Consider the following 27352-nt stretch of genomic DNA (forward strand, 5'->3'; position numbering starts at 1 on the left):
GAACATCCCGAAGTAGTGTGTTTAAATCGCTCCAGCGCCAAGACCACAAATCCTGGGAAGCACAGGTGTCCTTTTCACGGCCTCGCAAGGAAAGCAGGTGCCTTCTCCACAGAGACTCTTGGTGGGCTCCTCGATTTGGGGTCATCTGCTCCTGCAGCCTGGGCTCGCGGGGGTGAGAACACAACAGGGTGAGCCATTTTGCTGCGGTGCCCCAGGCATCTTCTGGGTGTGGAGGCAACTCCACGTGAGAGGTACCGGTGCGTCCCAGTCCCAGACTTGTGCCACTTTTCTGAGCCCTCTGGGCCGGCCTCATGCCTTCCGGGCCTGCTGAGCTCTGTGCCCTACCTGCCACTCCTGGAGGGCAGGCTGCCACTGTGCTCGCGGGGCCTCGCTGCAGGGTGGGCTCACCAGGGGCAGCTTCTGCGGTGTGTGTCCATCACCTGGTGGCCTGTGATGGGCAGTCAGTCTCGACCAGGGGCTAGTAGGAAGCCAGGGGTGGTTTTCCCACAGGGTCCAATCTTTCTGCAGAGGACAGCATCGATCGGCATCGATCGGCTCCTTAGTCCTGAAGGTCTGCACGGCCATCCTTCCTCAGATCCACTCCAGAGGCTCTGCTGGCTGGTCCTTCTTCGCCACAAATGTTTGGGGTTTCTGGGCCTGCAGCCTGCCCTGCCGTGAGCCTGCATCGAGCCTCATCCTGTGTGTGAGGGGGTCACTGGGCTAGGAGCTCGTGGCTTCTTGAGGGGGTGCAGCAGGGGTGACATCAAACCCAGCCCGTGCTGTTCCCACTGTCCTCCATCCGCATGGTGCCGTGATGCTCGTCCTGAGGTCATGGGGTGAAGCGTCTGCTGCCTTGGGTTTAGGGCGGTCGCCCTCTGCAAGAACATCACAGGAAATGTGCAAACAGGATCTCAGAATGGAACCATCGACATGTTTGAGGGAGTGGCCTGTTTTTATGGAATCCCAGGACAAACCTTGTTGCAAAATGAAAAATCTTTCCACAAAATGACCAAGCGCTCCCTAATAGGCGCCATCTATGAGCCTCACATTTGGGGTGGTTGGTTTGCTGATGTCAGGCTTCCTCGGCCTTGGCACGACTGCCTGTGGGCCCATTCACTTTGCTGCCAGCCTGTCCTGGGCACCATTGGATGCTGAGCAGCAGCCTGCCCCCACCCTGCAGAGGCCAGCAGCACCAGCCCAGGGTGGCGATGACCATAAATGTCTGTAGATGTCACGAGTGTCCCCTGTGGGAGGCAAACTCCCCCCAGTTGAGAAGCACTGACTTAAAGTGACTTTTCATTCTTGATCTGGCAGAAAGGCTTGGGCAGCAGCCAGGGGAATCCACGCCTCCCTCCATGGGGCCTCTTGAAATCCACGCAGCAGTGCCAGGCTCCATCTGGGGCATGGCACAGCAGTGAATGCCAGGACTTTTAGCAGCTTCCGCTGGAGTTGGGGATGGAGGGAGATGAAGGCCCCTGTAGTCAGCATGTGACTTGTCATGGGACAGGCTGCGTCCAGGGGTACGGGTCTTGCAGAGGGGACCATGGCTGAGTTGTACTGAGGCCCCCGGGAGGGGGACCGCTGAAGCCTGCCGTGGTCCCCTTAGCCCTGCGGTAGGACAAGCTCATCCTCTGTGATCAAGCTCAAAGCATCCCTAGTTGGCCTTAATGTCTCACTGAGTGTCTCTGACCCGGGATGTTTTATGTAACTCTTCAGAGCTGTACGACTGTTGATGTCAGCTGCATTTCCTGAGGCCCGTGAGCTCTAAAGCACCCACGTGCAGTTTCATTTCTGTTGACCTGTCCTTGGTTTACCTATTTTATGCTCCAGGAGGGACCTTTAGTTCCGGTATGCCAGGATTGGGGGGCTGTTCCCCCAGCTCCTCCCACAGGCTCAGCCCCAAGTCCAGGGTGCTCACTCACATTCTACCATCAGCTGTGACACCCGGGCCCAAAAGTGGCTTCTTCTGCATGGATGTCCCCTGCAGGGACTGGCCGACACGATGGTGCTGCTTATGAGCATAATTTGCTCTCTCTTCTACAGAAATACCATGTTGCTCAAGCTCTCCCAGCAAATTGCTCCTAAGCACAGAAGAAAGTGGGCTCAGAACATTCATTTATCATCTTCCTGGTGGGGGCCGCTGAGAGCCCCACATGTTCTGGCATTGAGGCTGCATCAGTCAACAAAACAAAGTCCTTTTCCCCGGAACTCCTGTCCTGGGTCAGGAGGTCATGGCCTAAGTGGTCACCATCCATCCCAAATCTGCTGTGTTTAGGAGACCATGGGCTGGAAGACCCAGGAGTGGATGCTTTTGCCCCAACGATGGCTGTCACCCAGAATCCCATGGGGCCGCCACCCTCCAGCAGCTGAGAGGGACCTGGTGGAGAATCATAACCTTCCCTACCATCCAGCACCTCAGAGGTGGCTCTGCTGGTGGGAGAATCACAACTTTCCACCTGTAAGTAGTTGGATGCTCCACGTGACACACTGGGCAGAGTCGCCAGTGTTTCCCAGACATCAATATGCTTTCTAAATAGAGGCCACAACATTGTGGCCAATTTAAGCACAGCTCTGAGCCCAGCCAGCTCAGAGCCCCATGAAGTTCCATGAAGTGGAAACGTCAGGTATCAGTAAGTTACACCTGGTTTGGAAATTCAGCTGAGCCCAGGCTTTCAACAGGCAGGCACACCTGTCTTCCAGGCTCAGGGAGCGGCCTCCTGATATCCATTTAGCACGTGGTAAAGGCTCTTCCAGGGCAGCTTACAAGCTTTGAGGCCGGCGTTTCCCACCATGGTGCCTGTCTTCACAGTCCTCCGGGATGGCGCCGTGACTGCATTCCTGTCTGGCGGGAAGAGGCGGTTCTGACCCCCCCTGGCCTTTCCTACCATCATGGCCCCCACTCTGCAAGTCAAGAGACCAACACAAGGGTCTTCCCATTGCTGGTCACTCACACGAAGCCCACATTCTGCATCTGAGGGAATGAGCCAGGCAAGCACAGGCCACTGCGAGGAGAGTGGAGCCCAGACCCAGTTCTCCGTCTGGCCCCCAAGAGTTCCTGCCTTTGGGCCTCCAGGAGTTAGCATTGATTCAGAGCCACTGTCTAGAAATTGCCAGAAGGCCTGTGGAATGTGTCTTCCCGCAGTGCAGTGACCTGGAAAATGGCCCCTGCAGGCTCCCTTTGGGGAAGGTAGCACAGATTCCTTCTGTGGTGTAGCAGTGTCTTCACTCGAGGGAGCCCAGAACCCCGTTCCCGGGCCCTGATCTGGCTTAAGTCTGGCCAGGGGTTAAGAGGCCGTGATTCAGGTCAAACCTCAGTTTATCAGGGTTGGAGGTTGCTTTTTCTTGTTTTATTTTTCCTTTTCATGATACAAATCAAGTAAGATTTGAGTTGGCTGTTGCTATGGTTTGAATGTCTCCCCCCAAACTGTTGAAGCAGCCCCCAGTGTGGCAGTGTTGAAAGTGGGGGGCCCTCGAAGAGTGATTGGATCCTGAGGGCTCTGCCCTGGGGGATGGATTAACCTGTTCATGGATTCAGGGAGTAATGGGTTGCCATGGGAGGGGACTGGTGGCTCGATAAGAAGAGGAAGGGAGACCTGAGCTGGCACGTTAGCAGGGTCGGGCCCCTTGCCATGGGATGACCTGAGCTGCGTCAGGTACCTGCAGAGAGAATCCCCCCAGCAAGATGGCTCTTACCAGCTGTGCCCCCTCGACCTTGCACTTCTCAGCCTCCATAAGCGTAAGAAGTAAATTCCTTTTCTTATACATTACCTGGTTTTGTTAGCAGTGGTGCTTATGGGTATGGGTCTGCAGCAACCTCAATTCTGGCCTCCTCAGAAGAAAGAATTCAACTGAGAGGCAGAAGGCAGAAGGAGAGACCAAGGCGAGTTTTAGAGCAGGAGTGAACATTTATTAAAAATCTCTAGAGAAGGAATGTGAGGAAGGAAAGTCCACTCGGAAGAAGGTCAAGTGGGTGACCTGAGAGACCAAGTGTGCGGCTTGGCCTCTCAACTCAGGGTTATGCATCGGCATGCTTCTGGGGTCACCTTCCCCCACTCCTGAGCTCTTATCAGGAAGCTGCTCATCACCAGCTTCAGGTGTTTTCTATTAGGAGCCTGGCTTTCCCTGGCCCCGGCTGTGGCCAGTTATTACTTTAGAGAGACAGTGTGACAACCGCCTGACCAGCACCTGATGGTCGCTGACGCTCCTGGGGTGAGTGGACCCTCTTCTGCCCTGCTCACACCACACGGGCTGCCCACTGTAACAGGCTTAGGTATTCTGTTACAAGCAAAAGAGAACAAACGATCACAGCTCTCTCCTTGAGTCCCAGGAATGCTGTGATTCACGGGTTGTCATCAGAGATCTCTGTGGGCCAAGCCATGGCCGTGTTTGGGCAGTCCTGCTGCCCACTGCGTGACCACAGCCACCTCATCGACGACTCGCCCCGGGCCCCTGCCCTTCTGAGATTTCGTTTTCCCATCGAATTTGGGGGGCTCTGAGATAATGGCAGCATCTCTCACGGTGACGGCGGCCTCAGGTCACGGCTGTGGTGGAGTCTAACAGTGGGGGCTCTCTTCTCATCCATGCTGTGGGGAGGGGGTCCTCTGGACTCTGGAGGAGAAGTGACGCGGTGGGTGAGAAGGTCATGCGTAAGAAACCCAGCCACGGCGACAGCTCCCTCTCCTGAGATGTTTGTCTTTCCTGGTAGCATTTGGCTTCATCTTACGATGGCAACCATCAAGTCTGTGTTTCAGAACTGTTAGAGCCACTGATGGTCACTCAGACCAACACAAGCCAGCGGACGCAGTCAGGGCACCGGTGGCCGAACCTTCCACGTCTTCCACCCTGGTCCATCACCCTTAGGAGCCAGTGCCACGTATATTCCCTGTGTTTCTGTTGACAAAAACAGGCAAGATCTTGCAGTTCTTTTTGTGTGCATGGTCCCTCCTCCTGGCTCTGACCCTGGGACTTAAGGCTGGTGCTAGGTGATAGGAGGTGACAGTGGACTCGAGTCTTTCAGGCCAGGAGAGGGTGGTCGGGGCAAGAGCAGGAAGCGGTGCCCTGAGTGACTGGGGAATTCAGGGTCTCAGCTTCTCAGATTCTGCCCACCTGCCTCTCCCCACCTATGTCACCTCCACCTGGAGAACCTGCAGGGCTGTGAATCCCGCACGGCTGACTCAGCCTGTTGCACTGGTTCCCAGAAATTGCAGACCTGTGGATCCTGGAGATAAGGGCTTCCTTCAGGCCAGCACAGAAAGTCAGGAGCGGGTGTTCAGAGTCCCAGGGCGATCCAGTCCCTGCACCCTGCAATTTTATGACCCTGGTGCAAGCTGCAGCCATGGGTCCTGAGAGCCGCGCCATGTGTAAACATGCGCCAGGCTCCAGATGATCGCAGTGATAACCGCGTGACCACTCCGGGATCACGTGTGAGTGCACCTTCTCCACAGGTCCCAGGACCACCCATCGGATCAGGGATCACTCCAGACTCCTCTCCTAGAGGCGCTGCCACCCTGGAAGCACATCTGGCACTCAGATCATGTTCAGTCAGAAAAACGAAGCCACCGCGATTATGATTATGGGAACATAGGGTTTACACGGGGGAGTTGCTGGGGAGGGCATTTCAGGACAGCCTTGATCAAAGGGCTGGGGAGATGGTCCAGGCGATGCCAACCGGAAGCCCCAGAGGAGGAGAGGAAAGCCATCCACTAGGGGACCATCGCTGGCCCCGAGCTCTGGGTGGGCCCGGTGTCCGGAGTCTGCCGTCTGCCTCCTGGAAATTCAGGCTTCCTTTCACCTGGGCCTCCCCCTCCTCCCCTGAGCTTCCCTCACCGGCAGGCCAGCCCGGCCCTCAGGGACAGCTGGTGGGAAAGATGAGAATGAACACGTCCAGCCCAGCCCTGAGCCAGGGCAGGTGCGATAGATATAGGCTGGGAGGCCGGTCTCCCTTGGTTCTCATCTCGCCGGGTTCTAATCTCTCCTGAAGTCTTTTTCACACTAAAGCCCTCAAAGCCAGCTGAAGCACTCGCCCGTGGTTCTGATTAAACATTGTTCTGACAAAGGAAATATTATCCTCAAAGCCCTAACACTACAGATGGGCCCCGTGTCTCTGGGTCCTGCCCCGTATGCTTGGAGAGGGGTTTGGCGACTCAGCCATGCCCCAGGGGGAGGCTTGCCGGCCTGCGGGCCCCGCCACCTTCCTGTAAGCGCTGGTCTAGCTGAATATCAAGGTCCCCGGAGGGCCATATTTGATGCTGTAACTGCTGGTGTCACTTTACAGTGAAGACATTCATTATGTCCCTTTGCAGAGCATATTTGATGCAGAGGAGGCCGCTGGAGGCCTGAGAGGAGTGAGGAGAAAGTGCAGGTCCCCGAGCAGCCCCTGGGCGCTTCGCCGCCCAGCTGTGGGCAGGTCAGCAAGGCTGAGTCGCAGGGAACAGGAGGGGCCTCTCCAGGATCCAGGGCCGGGGCCCTTGGAACTCAGCAGTTTCCGGTTTGATAGGGGAGGGATCAATCACACAGATGTATAAAATGTAATACAGAATATTGAATTGCAGTGAACAAGTCTAAACAACTTTAAAATGACCTTCCAGGAAGACCTGTGATACGATTTCTCCCTGGTTTCCATGTATTCCGTACCTACATTTAAATGGCGTGATGATTTATTTTAAGTATCTGTGTGTTTGTATCTCACACCATCCCACATGGATGTCATCCCATAATCGTCCGATTTATCGGCCAAGCGGGACCCCTCCTCCCCCCACAGGCCAGGGTCTGGGTGGGCAGGACCTGGTCTGACTCACAGCACTTGTCAATGATGGATAAGGATGCAGTGAAGAAACGCATCAAACGATGGATAAGGATGCAGTGAAGAAACGCATCAAACGATGGATAAGGATGCAGTGAAGAAACGCATCAAACGATGGATAAGGATGCAGTGAAGAAACGCATCAAACGATGGATAAGGATGCAGTGAAGAAACGCATCAAACGATGGATAAGGTTGTGGTGAAGAAACGCAGACACACCCTCGCTCTCTGGAAGTTTCCGTGACTGAGGTTTTGGGACCAACATTGATTTTAAATACAAGGACAGCAGTTTTAAGGACTCAGTGTGGTGAGGACTCATTGGAAATAAGAAAACGTTTGCCTACTTTACAGATTTTTATGTTCTCTAAAATAGGTCTGTTTTTAAAAAAGACATTTTAAAAGGGACATGTTACATTCAATGAGGGAAGAAAATGGTAAATGTCAGGGATAATTATTTTGTGCTTGAAAGCAGAAGAAAATGAATGATCCCTGATTTCCTGAAGCATTTAAACTAAAACAGAACAGCACCCTGCTCTGTGTAGGTGTGGAGAGAAGGGCATGTGTGGACAGTGTGTGTGTGTGGGGAGAGGGTGTGTGGGAGAGGGTGTGTGGGGAGAGGGTGTGTGGGGAGAGGGTGTGTGGGGAGAGGGTGTGTGGGAAGAAGGTGTGTGGGGAGAGGGTTTCTGTGTGGGAGAGGGTGTGTGGGGAGAGGGTGTGTGGGAAGAAGGTGTGTGGGGAGAGGGTTTCTGTGTGGGAGAGGTTGTGTGTGGAGAAGGGTGTGTGGAGACGGATATGTAGTGTGGAGAGAGGGTGTGTGAGGTGCCCTCTCCTCTAGATCAATCCTAGTGTGTCCGATGCTTCCTTCCACAGGCTCCCGACACAGGTGGCTAATCCGGAATCCTGGTCAACAAAGTCTGCAGCCCTGCAGCCTGCTGTGATGTTTGCTGAGCAGCAGAGACAGGTGAAGAGTTGCTCTGAGAATGCCCTGATCTGCTGCAGCTGTAGGTGAAGGAGCAGCTTAGGATAGAAATCAAGATAAGAGCAACAAACCCAGGCTCCCGCGAGAAGCCAGTGGGTGTCCAACTTGAGGGCGGAGGAAGGCCTGCACTGCCTGGACGAGGACTGACTGCGGCAAATTCACTCCAGGGCTGGGCGTCCACGTCCAGCCAGAACGCAGAACTTGCCGGGTTGCGCTGCTCACACAGGCCCCGCCGTCCCCGCCGTCCCCGCCGTCCCCGCCGTCCCCGCCGTGAAGGTGCTCAGCTCTGCGTGGCTTGACTGCGGGCCCTCAGGTGTCCTTGTCCAGGGCTCAGCCTCCCCATCCTCTGCAGCGGGGACATTCTAAGTGAGTGTCTTGTTTAAAAAATAAAGGTGGTAAAAACTGGAGTGTGAGAGGTTAACAAGTTGGCTCCTGCTTTACTACGGGGGGTCCCTGGCAGCTCCTCTGTTGAAGGACGCATGGGGCATCTGTGCCGCTCTCGTAGGGACGTTTGCAGGGCCTTGTGTGACTGTGTTCACGTCGGCCCCTCTCACCTCTGAGCTCCTCCCCACCGCGCTTGTGAGTGGAGCAGCCCAGGAGACTGTATGTGGGGTTTTCCAACCACAAAGCATGGGGGCTTTGGAGTCTGACGTGCTCCTCGGCATGGCCACATGTGCCTCTTTCTCCACTCCTGGCCATCAGCTGCCCTCAAGAAGTCAGCCACCCCTGCAGATGGACAATGAGTACCCAAAGCCAGGGAGGAAGGGCTTTGTTGGGGGAGCTTGGCGTAGGCGTCCACTTCGTCAGGGCCTCAGCTCTTTCCTGGTGATTCCTGTGGGCTGATGTACCCATCACGGGGCACAGAGTGGGACGCCTGCCATGCCGTCCTCCCTGCAAACCACAGCCAACGTCCAGGCCCCGCCTTTCACTCGAAGCTCAGCCCTTGTTCTGGCCGGGGAATCTGGTGCATCCTGCTGTGTCCAGGGCCCTTGCTATGGTCCCTGGAGTGGTCTCAGGGGCTGTGCCACACCGCAGGGGCCTCGGATGGCCCCCATGTCTCACTGAGCAGACAACCAATTTTCAGTATGCAAGTGACAAGCAAGAAGCGGCGTCACCCCTAAGCCTTGAATTTCTTTGCCAAGCAGGAAGCGGTGTCACCCCTAAACCTTGAATTTCTTTGCCAAGCAGGAAGCGGTGTCACCCCTAAACCTTGAAGTTCTCCAGTCCTGGGCGTCCCCACTGCCTCCTTCCGGGTCACGTGTTCACAGAGCTAGGGGAAGACCCAGAGACTCCAACGTATCCTCCAGGACCTGCAGATGGGCAGAGGCAGAGGCAAGTCCAGCACCCGTGCCGTGCAGTGGAGACCCAGAGATCAGGCGAGGTGCCTGCATCTGTGCTGGCTATGCCACCGCAGCAGCACTGTCCCCAGACACCTGGAACCGTCCGCGTGCACAGGCTCGTGGCTGCCCTGGCGGAGGTGCCCCATGCACCCCCTCGTCTGATGTCAGGTACACTCCTGCCCCAGGCCAGTGCTGTTGCAAAGCTGGAGTTTGTGTTCAGGCTGATTATCTTGAACTTGGGCTAATGTTCCACGAAGAGAGTCTCTATTATCTGATTCATTCATTAAGGGCCCATTTATGGCTCCCTGGTGAATGGGAGCCACTTGCCCCTGGGACTGTCCCTGCCCACTGCGGGTGAGGGAGGCCCCGTGTGCTGTGAACACAGGGGCCTGGGCAGGAGCAGGGGGCAGGAAAGGAGGGGAGCCCCTGGAGCCCAGCCAGACGCAGAGAGCCCTCACCGGCCTGCCGGGAGCCTGCAGGCTGCCCCGGGCTCCTAGGCTCTGAGGCTGGGAGTGCAGTGGCCGGGCCCTGGAGGAGGCTGGGCTGGCAGGTGTCATTCCCTCTCCCGGACTGTCTGGGACAGGAAGGCGGTGCATGTGAGCACCTGGGCGCTTCATTCTGGAGAGCAGCAGCCTCTGGGGAAGAGCAAGCTCGGGCCCCAGCACTGGGGGGTCCAGAATGGCTGAACTCCCGGGCGCTGGTCCAGGGCTGCCTGCTGACACCTGGTCCCACATGGGGCGGGGCAACTCCATCCTTCCCTCCAAAAAATGAAATAGGCCCCGGGGCCCTCTGTAGGTGCAGGCCTCTGATGGTTCTTCCAGCCCACTCTGAGCCTGCAGGAGGCTGTGCAAACAGATGTGCATATGTGTGGATGCATGCACATGTGTGTGTCCCTGAGTGCCTGCATGTATTCCCACACGTGTGCCTGTGTGCTGCATGTGTGTGTATGAGCATGAGAAAATGGGAGAGGGACACATGGAAACAAACGGAGAGAGAAGGAGGAGTGTGTGAGTGTGAGTGCATGTGTGTCTGTGTGTGAGTACATGAGTGCCTGTGTGTCAGTGTGAGTGCATGTGCGTGTGAGTGCATGCGTGCCTGTGTGTGAGTGCATGGCTGTGTGAGTGCATGCATGCCTGTGTGTGAGTGCATGCGTGCCTGTGTCTGTGTGAATGTGAGTGCATGCGTGCCTGTGAGTGTGTGAGTGCATGCGTGCCTGTGTGTGTGATTGCATGCATGCCGGTGAGTGTGTGTGTGAGGGCATGCATGCCTGTGTATGTGTGAGAGCATGCGTGCCTGTGTGAGTGCATGCGTGCCTGTGAGTGCATGTGTGCCTGTGAGTGTGAGTGCATGCATGCCTGTGAGTGTGAGTGCATGCATGCCTCTGAGTGAGTGCATGTGTGCCTGAGTGTGTGAGTGCATGCGTGCCTGTGAGTGCATGCGTGCCTGTGTGAGTGCACGTGTGCCTGTGAGTGTGAGTGCATGCATGCCTGTGTGAGTGCATGTGTGCCTGTGAGTGTGAGTGCATGCGTGCCTCTGAGTGAGTGCATGTGTGCCTGAGTGTGTGAGTGCATGCGTGCCTGTGAGTGCATGTGTGCCTGTGTGAGTGCATGTGTGCCTGTGAGTGTGAGTGCATGCGTGCCTGAGTGCATGTGTGCCTGTGAGTGTGAGTGCATGCGTGCCTGTGAGTGTGAGTGCATGTGTGCCTGTGAGTGAGTGCATGCGTGCCTGTGTGAGTGCATGCGTGCCTGTGAGTGTGAGTGCATGTGTGCCTGTGTGAGTGCATGCGTGCCTGTGAGTGTGAGTGCATGTGTGCCTGAGTGTGTGAGTGCATGTGTGCCTGTGAGTGTGAGTGCATGTGTGCCTGTGAGTGCATGCGTGCCTGTGAATGCATGCGTGCCTGTGTGAGTGCATGCGTGCCTGTGAGTGAGTGCATGTGTGCCTGTGAGTGCATGCGTGCCTGTGAGTGAGTGCATGCGTGCCTGTGTGAGTGCATGCGTGCCTGTGAGTGTGAGTGCATGCGTGCCTGTGTGAGTGCATGCATGCCTGTAAGTGTGAGTGCATGCGTGCCTGTGAGTGTGAGTGCATGTGTGCCTGTGAGTGAGTGCATGCGTGCCTGTGTGAGTGCATGTGTGCCTGTGAGTGTGAGTGCATGTGTGCCTGAGTGTGTGAGTGCATGCGTGCCTGTGAGTGTGAGTGCATGCGTGCCTGTGTGTGTGAGTGTGAGTGCATGCGTGCCTGAGTGTGAGAGTGTGTGTATCTGTTCAAGGGGGTGTGCACGTGCAGACAGTGAGAAAAGGCCTCCTCAGCAACTCGAGCCTCCTAGAGCCTCCCTGGTTGCCAGAGGGGCTGGGGCTGCTGCCTTGTCCAGCTCTCTCCTGCCCACTCCACTGTGCCTCTCCCTGTCCTGCCATTTGCCCTGGGGGACAGCAACTGCGCCTGGGGACCTTGATAACCAAGGAGCACTTTGCCGTTCCCGGCGCCTTCAGATACAGAATCTCACCTCACCCCCGTGCTCACTCCCTTCAGCCGGGCCACCCTAAGAGCAGCACAGAGCCTGCAGAGGCCCCTGGGCCTTCACCCGTGGTGTGGTCAGGAGGCCCGAGAGGCACCTGGCTCCATGCTGGTGCCCTGTGTCTCCTCTGACCACACACCAATCTGGTGCTCAGGAAGGCAGGGCATGCACTGCCAAAGCCACGGCAGAGGGAGACCTGCCCCAGGGCGCCCGCGTGCCAACACGCACAGTGGTCTCTGTTTCATTGTGACCACGGACACCCCCAAATTTATTAGCTTAGCTGTGAGGCTTCCTGACACAAAAACATAGCAGGTTTCTCCTTGCCACATCCAGTTAGGTGCCTACGGGGTGTTAAATATCACATGAAAGCAACCTTTCCTCTGACTTTTTGCTCCTGCTAACTTCACGCAGGTGGATTATTGGATATTTTCTTTCAACCTCTTGCTTCCCCATGCCAGGGGAACCTCACCCGTTTGAGCCAGCCGCCTCTGCCTGCTGCAGCTGCCCTGGCTGGGTCCTGGGAGCCTCACGCCAGGGGCTGCAGCCGTGCTTGCTCCCGGAGGCCTGAGCCGGCCCAGGCCCCCTTCCAAGTCTGCCCATTCCTTAGACGCCTTTCCTTTGCTCTAGGGTCTCCTTAAGGCTCCCTCCAGCCCTGTCACTGGATGGCAATTGTCTACACTACAGAGTCGGTTTCACAGGCAAGCAAGTCGATGCTAACCCCACCTACAGGCTCTCCCCAACTCCAGCCCACATGACTCCCTTGGGGCCCCTGTCTCCCCTCATCCCTGTGCTCCAGTTAAAGTAAGCCTTGTCCCCCCACCCCCCCGCCCCCCGTGGCCTGGCCCCTGCTCTGGGCTCTGCCCACACCCCACCCTTGGACGACCTCCCTCCTCTTGCTCTGTTGGTCAAAATCTTACCTGACCCCCAAGACTCAAGCCTGGGGCCATCTGCAGTGCCACCCCGCTCACCACAGCCTGGGGCATGGTTTCAGCAAGGACTAGTGTGTGTGTGTGTGTGTGTGTGTGTGTGTGTGTGTGTGTAGTGGTAGGGGGGGTGGCAGGGTGTGCGGACAAAGGCAGGGCCTGTGTGGTGTGCTTGACTGGCTCGGGTTTCCTGGAAATGCTTCCAGAATCCTGCAGGGATGCTCTGGTGCTCCTGCCAGCCTGGAGGTTGTGTCCTCGGCACACCCTGCCCTGCTGCCTGCTGGGCCGGGGACAGAGACAGCTCAGCCCTGCTCAGGGGCTGGACCAGCACCTGCAGGCCCTGGATGGAGCCCCGAGAAGGAAGGACATGGTCCAGCGGAAATGGGGCCTCACACACACACAGATGTACACACAGGGTTCATCTGCCCTATCCTTCGCCGGCCAGAGGAGGCCATACATGTTATGAACATGCATCTTAAAATCATGCAACACATTGAAAAACAAAGACTTAAAATGAGCTCAGCTGATGTCCTTGCCAGGACACCACTCCTCTTTGGAAGGTCCCACCTCTCCACCTATCATTGTCATTCATGATTTCTCCATGAGCTGAGGGTCTGTCATCACGTGGGCAATGCTTCTGAGTCCAGGTCTGCGCCAGAGCAGTGAGTGGAAATCCGAGGGGGGCCTTGAAATGACCACGTCACTGTCGCAAAGACAGAAGGAGCAAGGGGTGCTCTGAGCTGCCTGAACGTCTCACCTGGGGAGAGTTTGGACAGAACTTCGAAAACCCCTCATTCTTCCATTCAATTATTTGGGCATTTGGTACCTTCCTACACGTTGGTGGGTTCAGTTCGAATCATGAAGGCTTTTAGGGGAAGGCAGCTGCCTCCAGAACCCACTCTTGGTTTTCTGATGTTGTTAGAAGGAGCAGCGGCTCTCAGGGGACTCCCCCTTCTTAAAGCCCAGAGCGGGTCTGGCGGACGCCCGAGAACCTTTGGGTAAAGTCCACTCCCTCCCTTCCCTAGCAGGAAACTGGAGCCGAAGCTCCTGCTCAGGGCTGCTCTGGTGTCCTGCGGGATCCCACCTCCAGAATCCTCTTGGGAAAAGACATTTTGCTCCCAAGTATTTCTTCATAAAGCTGAGGCCCTGCATCTTGGAAGACGGTTCCCCTGCCACCTACTACTAGGTCTCTCCTCCTCCCCTTAGCCTCCCCTTCTCCCCCAGCCTCTCCCCATCTGTCCCTTCTACCCCTCAAATTGCCCTCCCCTCCCCCACTTCTTCCCTCTGCCCCACTGTTCAAGGTCCCTTTCAGCTGGGACTTCCCCAGGGGTAAATTAAAGGGTGTGGTGGTTCCCTCCCTGGGCCTGGCTGCTCTTCACAGTGTGACCCTGGGTAAAGGTCCGTTTGGTGGCTCCGATGGGAAAAAATTCCCAGGCGGGCATCACCTCCATGGAGGTGACAGTATGAAAGGGATGTGACTGCCCCCAGAGCAAGGGTTTCCCTAGAGGGACCCCAAAAAGCTGGCAAGAAGGTGGCAAGGGTGAGGAGGTGGTGGGGAGCCCCTGCCTCAGTCACACCAGGTGGAGGGGTTCAAGGCAGCTCCCAGCTTCTCCTCTGTTGTTAACTGTTTTCCCACCCCCCCCCCCGCTTTGCCCCCTCCGTCCCATCTGTCCCTATGCTGGAGGCCTGGGAGCAAGGCCTGAACCCAGTGAGAGACCACTGTGGGGGTGCCTAGGTCATGGAGAAACTGTGGGCCAGCCAGATGTCTATGGGGTGGGGGGTGAGGCTCAATTTCCTTTAATCCGCCATTCTTCTGATGGGGCAGGCTGCCCATCTACCAGGAAACCTGCAGGGTCCTTGCACCGGGAGGGGATGGATCAGGGGAGACCTGGCTGCTTCTCTGCCTTCTGCTATTCCCTTTATGGGGGGTGGGGGGAGAGACAGAGGGAGGAAGAGAGACAGAGAGATTATTCTAGACAGAGAGAGTAAGGGAGAGAGGGAGAAAGAGGAGAGGGAGAGAGGGGAGCAGAGTGGAGTTGGAGGGAGACGGTGAGGGACTGGGAGACCGGGATGGGGAGAGAGAGGGAGGCCGGGCTGTCTCGTCAGCAGCAGGCGTGCCCAGGGAAACGCAGGTGGCATACATCGCATGCATAATCTCAGGAGACGGCCACTTTAAATCTTAATTGGTTGCCTTTTAAATATCATTTAAGGGCTGGCTTCCCTGCCTCTCTCTCTAGTTAAGAAGGTGTCGTGTCAAACTCTATTACCTTGCTGGACGTCTCTCCCTTAAGTTAAAAAAAAAAAAAAAAAAAGAAAAGAAAAAAGAAAAAAAAAATGGAATCATCAGCCGCGGTTTGAGAGGTCGATAAAGCTTTTAGATTTGGAGACGTTTTCCGGGAGCCCATTTCCTGCGGCTAAGAGTTGTTAATGGAGCTTAAGGAATTATCTTAGGCCGGGCGGCCGGGAGAGCCGTATATCTCCCGCGCCTGTTCCCTTGTCGAGCCTGAATATGCTGCTGTCAGACTCGCTTAATGAAAAGTAACGCACCGCTGATTACAGTTTTATTTGGGCTCTATGTAAAGAGCGCCGTTAATTTGCATCCCCTCCTTGGTGTGTTTGAATTCGCCACGCCTGAATAACCGAGCGCGCCGGCCCTGCCGGCCTCCCGGCGCCTTCCCAGCCCTTCTCTGACAATCTCCCTGGGAGCCCAGTCGCCCGCCCCGACCCTTCCCCGTCACGCCCCCGCCCCACTGACATCGACCTCCCTGGCGCGTCCACTCAGACACCTAAAATTCACCCCCTCCGTGTCACCTCTTTGCAAACGCCCCCTCCCCACCCCGCTCCGACTTCGGAATTGTCCTGCCTGACACCTCCCCACCCCACAAGATCAGCCAGAGGGTGTTTGGGGGCGCCTAAGGCAAACCGGCTGGACTGTGCCCCAAGGGAAGGGTGTGGGGGAAGCGCCCAGCGAGGGGATGCCATTTCCTGCGCGTCCCCTTAGAATGTGGCTGAATCCGCCTCCCCACCCGACGTCTTTATTTAACACAATCTCGCAGCTTATTCAAATAAGCCAGCTTTGTCAGCCAGTTCCACCAAGATCCGGGGGCTCCAGCGAGATGGAATTCCTATGGCCAGGGCCACGGGGAGGGGCTGGGGTCCCGAGGGCAGCAAGCTTGGCTGGCGGCAGGAGCCCTGGGTCCTCCCCAGGAGAGGGACCCAGAGCCCAGACCAAGTCCAACCCGCCAACCTGCGCCACCCATGCGCGCACTGGGGGCTGCAGAGCCCCGCCAGGCTGCCCGCGGCCGGGAGCGTAAGGCCGGGGTCCACGCCTCGATTTTCAGTGTCCGCAGCCCCTACCCCGCCTATCTGCGACGCAAGGCGAAACCTTGTTTTTGCGGAAAATGCCTGGCTTTGTCTAGGGCTGGGGTGGGGGCGTCTGGGCAGCCACCCTCGGCCACATTAAAATTCCTGGCGCCCCAGCCTCGGGCCTCAACGCTGTCCCCCGAGACGCCACTTTCGCTATTACTGTCAAGTACCCTTGACTCTTTATTTTTGCCCTTTTATCTATTACAACTAATTCGAGTTCTTTTGCCCTTTTCAGTCTAAGACGTGGGCTTTCTGCAAAGCCTCCCCCTGCCAGCGAGCTCTCGGAGCGCGGAGCCTTTAGAAATTGAGGGGTTTACTGTCAAAATGAAAATTTCACTTCAAATTACCTTGGCTGATGCTCGCTCGCCAGGCCGGGGGCTCCCGCCGCAGCCTTTTGACAGGCACATGAGCCGCGAGCTTCCGAACCTCGATAATATCATCTCGAGCGCGAAAGTCAATACGGTGACAGCGCGCGGCCGGATACAATCCAATTACGCTCGGCTGCCCGGGCGCTCCTGGGGCTCGGGGTCCGGCGGCCGAGGGTCCCCCTCAGGGCCCGGTCCAGGCCCTGTCGCCAGGGTTCAGGGCAGGCCCCACCACGCGGGGGACTTTGGTGGCCCAGGGGTCCCCACGAGGCCGCAGTCCGGGTCCGCCCAGCCCCAGGCTCCTAGAGGAAAGCCGAGCCTAGTGAGTCCCTCCAAGGCCGCCCGCCCGCAAGACAGTCCTGCGTCTCCGGCTATCCTGTCCCAGGCAAGGGCCTGTGGTCGCCTCCTCGCCGCCCCCGGGCCGCTCCCGTAGTCCTTGGGACACCTGGGCCTTTGATGAGCCCAGCAGGGCTTCGGGCGGAGGGCTCGGGGTGGGGGGTGGGGGGCGAGAGGAGAGGCCTCAAGTCCGCCAGGCGCCTGCGGGGGATGCGGAACCGCCTCCGCCGCGGGGATGGGGAGGGGAGCCCGGATTTCTGAGCGTAGCCACGGCTTGGCCGGGCCCCCCGAGCCCCGGATCGCTCCGCGGGTTCCTTCCACACGCCCTTCCCGCCCTGCCCCGAGGCCTTTCCTCCCAGTCCCGCCTCCGGTCGGCGGCCTGTGAAGCTCTGAGCATTTCCCCCCGCGGAGCCGCGGCTCGCCGGCTTTCCGAGCAGAGCTGATTGCGGAGCGGCGGGTCCCCGGAAATAGGAGAGCCGAGGTTAGGAGGTGGCTGAGACGGCAGAGGCGTCGAGGCCGCCCTAACTCCTGCCTAGGATGGGCAGAGGCCGCTAACAGAGAAAAGCAACGATGGGCTCCCACGCCCCCCCCCGGGACACGGCTCTGGGAATTTAGAAAGTTTAAAATCTAATCAAAGAAATCCCTATTTTTTCAAACTTCTAGAGTTGGGTGATGGGAAGTACGAGTTCTGGGTCTCACACCCACTTCTATTAGGGAGCTCAGCAGAACCCTCAAACTCTACAGCGACAGTTCTTTTAAAAGTGGCTTAAAGTCTTGGGTTGAACCAGCTGCTTTTGGGGAGTGGAGTCTGGGTCAGTTCCTGCTCCCCACTCCTTCCCTCCCGGATTAGCACCGCTTTCCCTTGGGAATTCTCAAATCCCCTGGTTTTAAATGTGTTCATTTTGCAATACAAACACCATCACTCGGTTTTATTGGTTTTGTTATATTAGCCTCTGAAGCAGGCAATTATTGGTGTGAACATACATCTTAAAAAGCATCATATTATGGAGTCAAGAGTGTGCAAGAGTCAACTCAGTGCAAGTGCTGTTGGTGAGCATTACGTGCTGAGGATGAAATCGGAGGCCCGACAGGCCCAGGAGGCCTCACGCCCAGGGGACAGCAGACCACGCTTCAGAACGGAACCGCCTTCTCCATGTAAACTTTTGACGTAAACTTTATGCTTCAGGGTATCTGGCCTCTTCTGCTCCGAGAGCCTCTCCTTCCGCGTCCCAAATTTGGGAATGGCCCGGTCAGGCTCAGGCCCAGGCGGTGGAGGCCCCGGCGTGGCAGCGCCGGGCTTGTCCATGTTCCCAGGAGTCCAAGTTCAGAAGCCCCCTCTCCGGTGGGTTGGCGGCTTCGCGGTGGCCGCGCTAGTCTTCCTCTGGAAACTCAGTGAAAAGAGTCGGCGCCGTCCGCCTGAGCGCGGGTTCCCTCCTGGGCTCGGGACCCGCCCGCCTCAGGCGCAGAAGGGTTTGCCGCCGGCCTTGGGCAGGGCGAGCAGCTCCCTGGCGGCGCCTGCAGCTGGGGCGTCCTGGGGCACGGCAGGCGGAAAGGCGCGGGCCAGGGGTGCAGTCAGCACGTTCGCGCCCGCCCCCAGCGAGCGTCCCAGAGGCCCGGGGTCCAGGAGGGCGCCCTTGGCGGTGGCCCAGGCCTGGTTCAAAGTGCTGTGCCTGAGGATGGGGTCGTGGAAGACCCCGTCCACCCAGTTTCTGAGACTGGTTACCGGGGAGTCCTGGTGCCTGTCCAGGGCGCCAGAGTGGGGAAGGGCCACAGACGGGGACGTGGCGGGCGCGGAGGACACAGCCGCAGGGGCCGCGGGACCTTGGCGCTTGAGCATGCACGACGGAAACTCAGTCTGGCTCAGGGAGGTGGCGGCGGCGGCGGCGGCGGTGGCTGTGTGGGCCAGGGACCAGATGCGCGGCTTAGCCTCCAGGCCTGCCGACGCCCCCGCCGGCACAAACCCCAGCTTGGCCTCGCAGACCTGAGGGCCGCCCTCTGCGCCCGGCAGTGGCTCCGGCCCGGCCGCCGCGCTGCGGAGACAGCTCCGGGCCCTCTCCAGGTCCTCGTCCAGAGCAGCTCCGCCACCCGCGGCCAGAGACATCCGGAGCGCGCCTGAGGCCTCCTTGACCGGGCCGTCGGGCGCGGCGGGGACGCGCTCCAGACCGCCGTCCAGGGAGTGGAAGGGCGGCTTCAGCTCGCACGCCGGCGGCTCTGCTTCCAGCGGGTCGAAGTCGTCCAAGTCACTAAGCTCCAGCTCCTTCTCCTCTTTGCCCACGGGCTCTGCGGGAGAGAATGCGTGGCCAGTGGAGGGAGAGGGTTGGTAGGTGAATCAGACCCCCTGTCCCCGTCCACCATTATGAGGCCTGTTCCCGACGCTACGAAAAGCACTCGGGGCCTCTCTTCGCGTCTCCCATTTCCTCCAGAGGCCACCAGGTCACAAACTGGCAACACAGGGGCCTCCAATGGGGGAGGGGGGTGTCTAATTTTTTTTTTTTTTGAGACGGAGTCTCGCTCTGTCGCCCAGGCTGGAGTGCAGTGGCGCGATCTCAGCTCACTGCAAACTCCGCCTCCAGGGTTCAGGGCATTCTCCTGCCTCAGCCTCCCGAGTAGCTGGGACTACAGGCGCCCGCCACCACGCCCGGCTAATTTTTTGTATTTTTAGTAGAAACGAGGTTTCACCGTGTTAGCCAGGATGGTCTCAATCTCCTGACCTCGTGATCCGCCCGCCTCTGCCTTCCAAAGCGCTGGGATTACAGGCGTGAGCCACCGCGCCCGGCCTACTATTTTTATACGTGATTTGAGTTCCTTTAAATGCTCAGGGGTCACCACCACAGTCCCCACATTGGTAGCCTGAGGCAGAACCGGTTTGCACGGTGACCGCCTAGGCATGGGGCTCGGCGTTTGGGACCCCCAAGACGTCCTAGAACCGCAGAGAAGGCACTGTGCCTGCACTCCAGGGCCTCAGCCCCCAGTGACAACCTCCCAACCCACCTGCGTTCTTGGAGCTCTTGAGGGGCTCCTCCCGCGCCTCCTCCTCGCCCCCCTCCTCCTCCTCGCCCTCCGCGTAGGGCCGCTTCTCGTCTGCGCACTTGTTCCGCGGCGGCCACGTCATCTTGTTCTCCTTCTTGAGGCGCCGGCGCGCGTTGGCGAACCAGGTGGAGACCTGTGTGAGGGTCATCTTGGTGATGATGGCCAGCATGATCTTCTCGCCCTTGGTGGGGTAGGGGTTCTTGCGGTGCTCCTGCAGCCAGGCCTTGAGCGTGCTGGTGGTCTCGCGCGTGGCGTTCTTGCGCCGCGTGCCGCTGTCCATGGTTCCATACCTGGAGACAGGCTCTGCAATGGGCTCAGGCTGGGCCCTCTGGGCCCCAGGCATCATGGGCATAGGGGTGGGGGTCGGCCAGGGGCATGCCAGGATGGGCTTTGCTTCCCCGTCGTGGGGTTGTGGTCATGGTCATAAGGCCCAGGTAGGACCCGAGCCCCAACCAGGTGCCGCTGCCTGCTGGCACTTGTCTTCTGTGGCCAAAGGGCAAAGATTATATTTGACTAAACTTACAGGGAGCCTGGGCTCCTTCCCAAGCCAGAGAGGTCCAGGCCAATTCCTTTATGGGGATGACCGCCTAGCCGTTTGATCCTCAAACCATAAAAAGGTATAGACAGGTAAGCCCACACCCTGAGATGTAACACGTGTGGCAGGAAGGGTCATTACTGCCCAGGAGGAGAAAGCACCCAAGGGGCCTAAGTGTACCGTCTTTGGATAAATTTGTAGTGGTTGCATTGAGGAAAGTGGGGCATCCTGTCCAAAAGTGGGACAGGAGAGAAAGGAGGGCCACCAGGGGTTCCCCACTGTTCCCACTGTAGGGGCAGTGTGGACACTCGGAAGGAGGTGCCCAGAGTCTGCAGAGCGGGCTGCCCCGTGAACTGGGCCTTCCAGATTCGACTTCCCTGAAAGCTGCCGCACATTTAGGACTTCTGGGGCCCAACAACGTGGGGGACGGGGAGACTGGGGAGCATTTTAACCATGGCTGTGCAGGAGCAGGTGGGACAGGAGGCTGGACCCCACAGACCACAGACTCAGGTCATGCCTGACCTAAGAGTGTCTCTCTTCCTGCCTCCCGCCTTCCAGAAAGGGGGCATGATGGTGGAGGGGAGTTGGTGGCTGACAGTGCAGAGGGCCCGTGGGGCTAGTGCTGGTTAGGAGGGGTGGGTCCTCACCTGTCATAGGGGTACTGGCCCAGAGCTGGCTCGTAAGGGTAGTAGGCGGCAGCGGCTGGTGCCAGGCCCCCATGCGCAGATCCCGAACCATCCTTGGAATCAAAGCTGTTCTGTGGGAGCCAAGAGTCTGGGGTCGCAGTTTCCAGGGAGGCAACCCCACTCCAGCCTCTCTCCTAGGAGCCCCCCACTCCCAAAGGCTTGGCAAGGATTCCTGGGCAGCCCTACGCCCCGGCAGGAAGGAGCTGATTTCCCGCTTGCTTTAAAACCTGGTCTCGCAAACCTGAAGTGGGGATGTTCTGAGTTGCAGAAGCAGTGTGTGGTGGAGCGCGGGCCGGTGGGGGGGGGCGGGGGGGAGGAGGTGCAGTGTGGGGAGCGGGGATGTGGAGTAGGAGGAAGTTGGAGGGAAGCCAGAAAGAACTGGGGGCCGGCAATAGGGGGCAGCTGGGAGAAGGAGTGGGGATTGTTAGGGCTGGGGATGCCCTGGGATGCACTCAAGTGGGGAGGAAAAAGGGGTGGAGAAAGGGGAGGGGCTGCTGAGCGAGGGGATGGAAGCCAGGAGGGGAGAAGGGAGGAGAGAAATGGGGAGGCGCAAGGCGGGGGGAGGAGCAAGGGTGGGGGAGGAGCAAGGAGGGGGAGGAACAAGGAGGGGGCGAAAGCAGGGGAGAGGGAGGAAGAGGGAGATAGGAAGGATGAGTCAGAGAGGGGCTGGGAGGACAGGAAGAGGGAGGCCAGGAGCCTGAAGGAGGCGGGGAGAGGAGAATGGGGTCAGGGAATGAGGGAGGGAAATCTACCAGGAGGGAAGAAGCGGGAAACACACGCAGACCGAATCTGCCAGCTGATGAGGATTTAGTAGGGAACCAAAAACAAGAAACGCAGTGGCCACCTGCCGGGTCATCTGTCCCAGGGGGTGGGGGTGGGGTTCTGAGGGTCTCGGCTGGGAGGCGCAAAGTTGAAGGCAGCCAAGGTGAGCGCCTCCCCTCTGTGACAGTCCGGGGACCCGGACTGGCGCGCCTACTGGGGCAAAAGTGGGCTTGGCAAATCGAGGGCCAGGGGCAGGGCAAGGGCTAGGGATGCCCCACTTACCAGCGAGTAGAAGGCGGACGCCTCCGAGCCGTAGGTCACGTAGTTGCCATAGCCCTGCGATCCGCCATAGGGACCCCCATAGACGCCCAGCGCCGCGGCCGAGTTGAGCTCGTGGCGCGCGGTGGCCAGCAGCCGGCTCTCGTAGACCGGGCAGTAGACCGGCGCCTGGGCCGAGGCGGCGGGCCCGGAGTCCGCCAGCGTGCGGCCTCCGGACTCGCAGCACGTGCTCAGGGAGTTGGTGGCCATCAAGAACTGCAGAGAGAGGCCGCGAGGACTGGCGGGAAGCCGGGCTGGAGGCTGGGGCCCTGGGCCTTGCCAATCCCGCGCGCCGCCCACGAGGGCGTGCCCCGAGTACCCCCGGGCCTCCCGCCGTCCACACCAGGATGCTCGCCCCTTTCCACTAGCTTGTGCGCGTCTGGCCTCCTCCGCCACGTGGGGCCCAGCCGAGCACCTACACCCTTCCCCGGAGGGTTTCCAAGGCCTCTGACGCCATTTGCGCGCCAAGCCTCCTTCCCCAGGGGTTCCTTGGGGTCCTAGGACTCCCCTGGGGCACAGCCTGAGCCTTGTGGTTCAAACATCAGGGAACCCGGGCCCGGCCCGTCGGATTTTCTTAGCGCCTCGGCCTTTCCCCGGGGGTTTGGGGAGCAGGGGTTGGGCGTGAGGGGCGCGCGACCCAGGCCTTGCTAGCTCGGAAGCCGCAGGCAGTCGTAGGTCGGACACTCCCCACCCCCCGTCCCCGCCCCATCCGCCCTACCGGCACCTGCGGTGGCCTGGGCGGGGCGGGGCTCCGCTTACCTGGGGAGCCGAGGAGTAGGGGTATCCAAACTGCGGGTAGGACATGGCGGGCGCGGCCCGGGGCGGACGGGCGGGGCCTGCAGGGTTCTGCGCGCTGGGGCCGGCGTGGCGCGGCCACTGCTCCGGAGCTGCAGGCTTCTAGGCGCTGGGAGGGCGAAGCAGGAGAGCCGGTTAGTCCATCCCCGCGCTCCGCAAACTTTTCTAACCGGGTAACAAAGTGAGCAGCGGTGGCCGCCGCGATTCCTTTAACTTCGCATTCCGGAGGCTCGAGGGGGCTCTGGGACCGAGCGGCCTCGCAGCGGCGACAGAAATACATATTTTACGAAAAAGAAAAAAAAAAAAACGAGTCGCGCGAACCCGTCAAGTCAGATGTGCGCGGCTTGAAGCGGAGGAGGCTCTGACGTCAGCCCCACCTCGCGCAGCCCGGCCTGGCCGCAGACTCGCCGGTCACTCGCCGGCGGCTCAGGCCGGGAGGGGCCAGGACAGTCCCGGCCGCGCGGTGGACGGAGGGGCCATTCCTCCGGGCGTTAGCAAATAAATTCCATCCGAGTCAATATCGCCCAGCGAACGGTGTTTCTCTTTAGTCACCCGAGAACGAGAGGCACTTTTAATTAGAAATTAATTAATGAGCAGCTGCTCCTTCCCGCCCCACTGTAATCATTCGTCTCAATTACAAATGAGACCTATGAAAGGACACGCTGAAGATGTAATCAACAGTTAAAATTAGCCCGGCGCTGCGCAGGCGGCCGGCCCGGCCTCGCGCTGGCGCGCTCTGCTCCGAGTGGCAGGAAGGGGCTCGCAGGCGCCCCGCACGCGTCTCGTCACTATTGTTTAATCGAGAATCAGCAACGCCTCCCGCCGGTTTCCACCCTACGCCGGAATGGACTTTCAGAACCCACTGCGGCCGCAAGACAGCCCGCAAGAGCTGGTCAAAATGCCCTCAGGTGCGTGGGGGCTTCGGGGCCTTAGTTGGAGCCCGACACCCTGAGACTGGCGGCCCGAGGGCTGTAGGGCCGCCCCGGGCGTGCGCCCACCGGCTTTGCACCTCTGGGCAGCCGAGTGTCGCGGAGAACGCCCCATCTTCTCCACCGCGGTCTTTTAAGTTCCCGCTCAGCCCACCGCCCCCACCTCGCCTCCCCGACTTTCCTCCCCGATCCCCTTTCCGCCGGCCGTGCTCCGCCGGCTTCCCCCTGCCCCTCGCGGCTAAGCCGGGGACTGCCGGGCGGCCCTGCGCGCTCGGAAGAGCAGGTTCCTCAACCCAGGCCCCGGCCCCTCCCGCTAAGCTCGTCCCTCCCGGCGCCCCGCAGGGCTGGCTGCGAGGGAGGGGGCGTTGGGTGCCTGGCGGAGGCGCCCTCCCCTGTCCATTTTGCCCAGCTTTCTGTCTGGGGCGCACGGAGCAATCGGAAGAGGGGACCGAGCGCCCACCCCAGGACTCCCTCGGCCAGTACCCTCCCTGGGACCTTGCCCAAGTTCAAAGCGGAGGCCAGTGAGCAGGCGGCAAGGGGGCGGCAAGGGGGCGCCCGGGCCATCCCGAACCCGTTCCCCGCCTTCTGCGCCATCGCCCTCCGGGACCGGGACTCGCCCCGGTTGCCCTCGCCCCCTGGGCCGGCCTCCCGTGGTAAGTTGGGAAGGAAGCCGTGCAAGGCAGCGTTGTGCAGACTTGCTCAGAAAGATTCCTGGGTTCAGACCTGTGAATCGCCCCAGGGTCACCCTCTAATTAATGATGACGTCCTCGCCCTCTCCCCAGCTGCAAGCCTGCCTCCCAGAAACGAAATCTGCCTGCTCTTTTGACAGCTCGGTTGAAGGTGATTGATGACTATCTGGAGACCACAGTACACATCATATAATATCTGCTGCGTAATTGCTTTAATTTACAGATGAAAATACGAGTTCTCCGATCGCGTTGGACCGGAGCGGGCCACGTCCGAGCTGCTTGCAGAGGGAAACCATCGGAAATAATGAATAGCCGCTCCATGCAAATTATTCAGACAGTTTAGCGTCGGTAGCCGCGAGAAATATATAAAGAACACGAGTCAAATGACATTAATAATTGTTTCTGAATTCTGTATTGATTTCGCGGCAGGCCGCGTTTCTTTCTTTCTCACCTGAATCGCTAATATCACCTTCCTGTAAATAATAAGAAACTAGCCACCGGGGTTTCTCGCTAGAAATGAATCTCTCAACCCCTTTCCCTCTCCTCCTGCTCCTCCCCTCCCCCACCCTCCTTCCTCCCCTCTCCCACCCTCCCTCCTCCCCACTCCTTGCAGTTTTCTGGTTTTTCCCGAGCATCCTTCTACTTCCCATTATTTATTGTTTACAAACTACTCGCTCTCTCCAGGTAATGAGGCCCGGCTGAAGGAGGGGTGTGAGCCCAGCCGGGCCAAGGGCTGGGATGGGGAGTAGAGACCCCCAGAGGGGAGGCATTCAGCTGTGGCTTGTCCTTTCCTCACCTATACTCGGGGACCTGGCCTCGGCGACTGTGAGCACTCCGCCGGCTGAGGGGGAGAGCCAGGGCCCAGGGGCCCAGCCACCTATGCCCTGCACCTCTGGGCTCTAGTGCAACAGCTCAGCCCACCCAGACCTGAGGCTGGTGCATTTCCTTCCTTCCAGACCCGGCGGGGCTTAACTGGAGCCGAAGCCCCAGAACAGGCGGCCATTCATCTTCTGAGCAGAGTCTGGGAGAAGCAGCCTCCACTTCCCAGGGCAGCCAGTACGTGGGGGCCCTTTCGGGGGCTTCCTTTGACCACCACCGCCACCTTCTCCTGTTCTCTTTTGCCTTTCCAGCCTGTGTGCATAAATCGACGCTCCAGTCCCCACCAGCGGGCGACCCTTTCTCCGTGACCCAGAAACCTGGCCTCTGAATCGGCTTTCCCAGGCCGCCGCACACACACGCTCCACTTCCTGCCCGCCAGCAGGCCCCAGCGCCTGGGGTCCGGGCCCAGTCACAGTCACCCTGCCTCGGGAAGCTCGCAACTGCCCAGGAGGCCTCCTGACCCGCCCGGCCTCACCCAGGCCCCACTACTCATTCCAGGACACAGGGTCAATCCAGCCTGTGGATTGGCGACCACCGGGACATCTCACTGAAACCCTGTAGCCTGGCCTAGGCCCGCCTGCCCAAACCGGGGATTCTCACTGGGCCACCCTTCTCCCATAGATAATACTGGAATATTTTCCAAGTGCCTTCACCAAAAGGCCAAGCCTGGAGCGGAGGCACCCAGTGTCCCTTTCACCAACGATAGGACGCTCAGCATCTCAGGTATCAGCTGAACGCGTCTGCATAGACTCGGAGTGCTGAGCCTTCCTCCCTCTAGGGACCCCCGGTACTAAATACACCCGTGAGCAGGTGGGCCAGAAGTCAGCCGGCTCCCGGAGTACACAGCACCGGCTCAGCTTCGGGGAGATGAGGTGCTCCCGCTGGCCTGGAGCGCTCCGAAGAGCGGAGGACCAGGGCCGGAGCAGGCCGCAGGGGAGGCAGGGGATGGTCAGCCCCTAACGCGAAGCGCAGGCGGGTCGCCTATTTTGACGGGGTTACCGTTGGCCGTCGGAACCATGGAAGGCCTCCGGGGAGACAGGCCGGGCCCTGACCCTTCTTCGGCCAGCCTAGCCCTGGTGCTTCAGGAGTTACCCTGGGGGCCACCAGTTCCCCGCACCAAGAGCTCGTCCGGAGGGAGCTCCTTCCAGCCCAGAGAAGTTAACTCCAGCCAAAGGCGAAGCCGGGAGCCCGGGGCACCAGGCAAGGGCCTTTCTTTCTGAGACCTGGGGCCAGAGACCTTGGGGGCGCCTGTGCCCGCCCACCGCTCGGGACACCCGGCTGGGGTGTGGGTTTGAGAGGCCTCACGGTCGCTGACGCCGCACTGGCGAACCTCGAGGTTGGCAGGTCATTTCCTCACAGCCCCGAGGCCCCCTCGGAGCCAGTGGTAGGAGAAGGAGCCACAGGGACAAGCGGTGAATCTCTGGATTCCCAACCGCCCTCCATGGGGGCCCGCGGCCCTCTCCCTCCTCTCTCCCGCTGCGCCCCCGCCGCTTGCTCCCTGGGTACGGCCTGAGGCTGGACGGAGCGCCGTCCGGGCGTCCAGGACTCAGGCCTGGCCACTCCGAGCCCCCCACCCCCCGCCCCGCGCCGGCCCGCGCACCCTGCTTCCCGCAACTTGCAGCAAACGCAGCGGCCTCTGGAGAGCCTAGCGACGGGTAGCAAACTTTGTCCCCTTAAGCGCAAGAGCAATCCTCGCAAAGTTTGTGCGGCGGAGCCCACTCCCTACCTGAGCTGGGGAAGCTCCCGCCCGCGCCGTGTGGCTGCCGGGGCCGCGGGGAGCAGCTCGCAGCCCGGGACGCACCGGGGAGTCGCCGCAGCCGCCGCCGCCCGCTCCCCTCGGCGGCCGCGCGGAGCCTCCGCCTCCTCGGAAGGGGGGAGGGGTCTCGGAACCCCGGGGCGGGGGCGGGAGCGGGGGACCTCACCTACCTGCGGTGGCGCTGGGCCGCTCCCGGCAGCCCGCGAGGGCTCCGCGCGGAAGCTCGGCGCGCGCGCTCCAGCGGGGAGCCGGCGACAACTAATGGAGACATTTCCAGGCGGAGCACCTGGCGAGCGGAGCGCGCCGGCGTCCCCAGGCGCCGCGGTCGTCAGCCGAGCCCGCACCGGCGT

At 59.6% G+C, this 27352-nt stretch overlaps 1 protein-coding gene and 2 long non-coding RNA genes across 7 annotated transcripts, besides 5 other annotated features; 2 read left to right on the forward strand and 1 right to left on the reverse strand.

Moving 5' to 3' along the window:
* Nucleotides 1-4996: 4996 nt before the first annotated feature.
* LOC124901164 (uncharacterized) lies at nucleotides 4997-8188 on the forward strand. The gene is made up of 2 exons (XR_007059104.1): nucleotides 4997-7340; nucleotides 7673-8188. It is a non-coding gene; the product is annotated as an uncharacterized LOC124901164 (long non-coding RNA).
* Nucleotides 5984-6483: an enhancer, noted in NCBI's record as "H3K4me1 hESC enhancer chr5:1865987-1866486 (GRCh37/hg19 assembly coordinates)". NCBI's record gives its function as "activates a minimal SCP1, AML or CMV promoter by ChIP-STARR-seq in naive and primed H9 embryonic stem cells {active_cell/tissue: H9 hESC(naive and primed)}" and the evidence as "EXISTENCE:reporter gene assay evidence [ECO:0000049][PMID:30033119]".
* Nucleotides 15696-16208: an enhancer, noted in NCBI's record as "H3K4me1 hESC enhancer chr5:1875699-1876211 (GRCh37/hg19 assembly coordinates)". NCBI's record gives its function as "activates a minimal SCP1, AML or CMV promoter by ChIP-STARR-seq in naive H9 embryonic stem cells {active_cell/tissue: H9 hESC(naive)}" and the evidence as "EXISTENCE:reporter gene assay evidence [ECO:0000049][PMID:30033119]".
* Nucleotides 16209-16721: an enhancer, noted in NCBI's record as "H3K4me1 hESC enhancer chr5:1876212-1876724 (GRCh37/hg19 assembly coordinates)". NCBI's record gives its function as "activates a minimal SCP1, AML or CMV promoter by ChIP-STARR-seq in naive H9 embryonic stem cells {active_cell/tissue: H9 hESC(naive)}" and the evidence as "EXISTENCE:reporter gene assay evidence [ECO:0000049][PMID:30033119]".
* IRX4 (iroquois homeobox 4) lies at nucleotides 17524-27290 on the reverse strand. Of its 5 annotated transcripts, none has more exons than NM_001278635.2 (7): nucleotides 26973-27056; nucleotides 22714-22858; nucleotides 21919-22170; nucleotides 20836-20945; nucleotides 20177-20254; nucleotides 19615-19943; nucleotides 17524-18903 (listed from the first exon to the last, which is right to left on the reverse strand). In NM_001278635.2, exons 2-7 carry the CDS (start codon nucleotides 22756-22758, stop codon nucleotides 18080-18082), a joined length of 1638 nt encoding a protein of 545 aa, NP_001265564.1. In that variant the 5' UTR covers nucleotides 22759-22858; nucleotides 26973-27056; the 3' UTR covers nucleotides 17524-18079. The 5 variants fall into 5 exon arrangements, with proteins under 5 accessions (NP_001265564.1, NP_001265563.1, NP_057442.1 ...); NM_001278633.1 differs by lacking the exon at nucleotides 26973-27056 and adding an exon at nucleotides 27173-27290 and having other exon boundaries at nucleotides 17538-18903; NM_001278634.2 differs by lacking the exon at nucleotides 20177-20254.
* IRX4-AS1 (IRX4 antisense RNA 1) lies at nucleotides 23444-24760 on the forward strand. The gene is made up of 2 exons (NR_183257.1): nucleotides 23444-23657; nucleotides 24591-24760. It is a non-coding gene; the product is annotated as an IRX4 antisense RNA 1 (long non-coding RNA).
* Nucleotides 23900-24752: an enhancer, noted in NCBI's record as "H3K27ac-H3K4me1 hESC enhancer chr5:1883903-1884755 (GRCh37/hg19 assembly coordinates)". NCBI's record gives its function as "activates a minimal SCP1, AML or CMV promoter by ChIP-STARR-seq in naive H9 embryonic stem cells {active_cell/tissue: H9 hESC(naive)}" and the evidence as "EXISTENCE:reporter gene assay evidence [ECO:0000049][PMID:30033119]".
* Nucleotides 25302-25835: an enhancer, noted in NCBI's record as "H3K27ac-H3K4me1 hESC enhancer chr5:1885305-1885838 (GRCh37/hg19 assembly coordinates)". NCBI's record gives its function as "activates a minimal SCP1, AML or CMV promoter by ChIP-STARR-seq in naive H9 embryonic stem cells {active_cell/tissue: H9 hESC(naive)}" and the evidence as "EXISTENCE:reporter gene assay evidence [ECO:0000049][PMID:30033119]".
* Nucleotides 27291-27352: the final 62 nt, after the last annotated feature.

The sequence above is a fragment of the Homo sapiens genome, chromosome 5 (genome assembly GCF_000001405.40).
Source record: "Homo sapiens chromosome 5, GRCh38.p14 Primary Assembly".
NCBI lineage: Eukaryota > Metazoa > Chordata > Mammalia > Primates > Hominidae > Homo > Homo sapiens.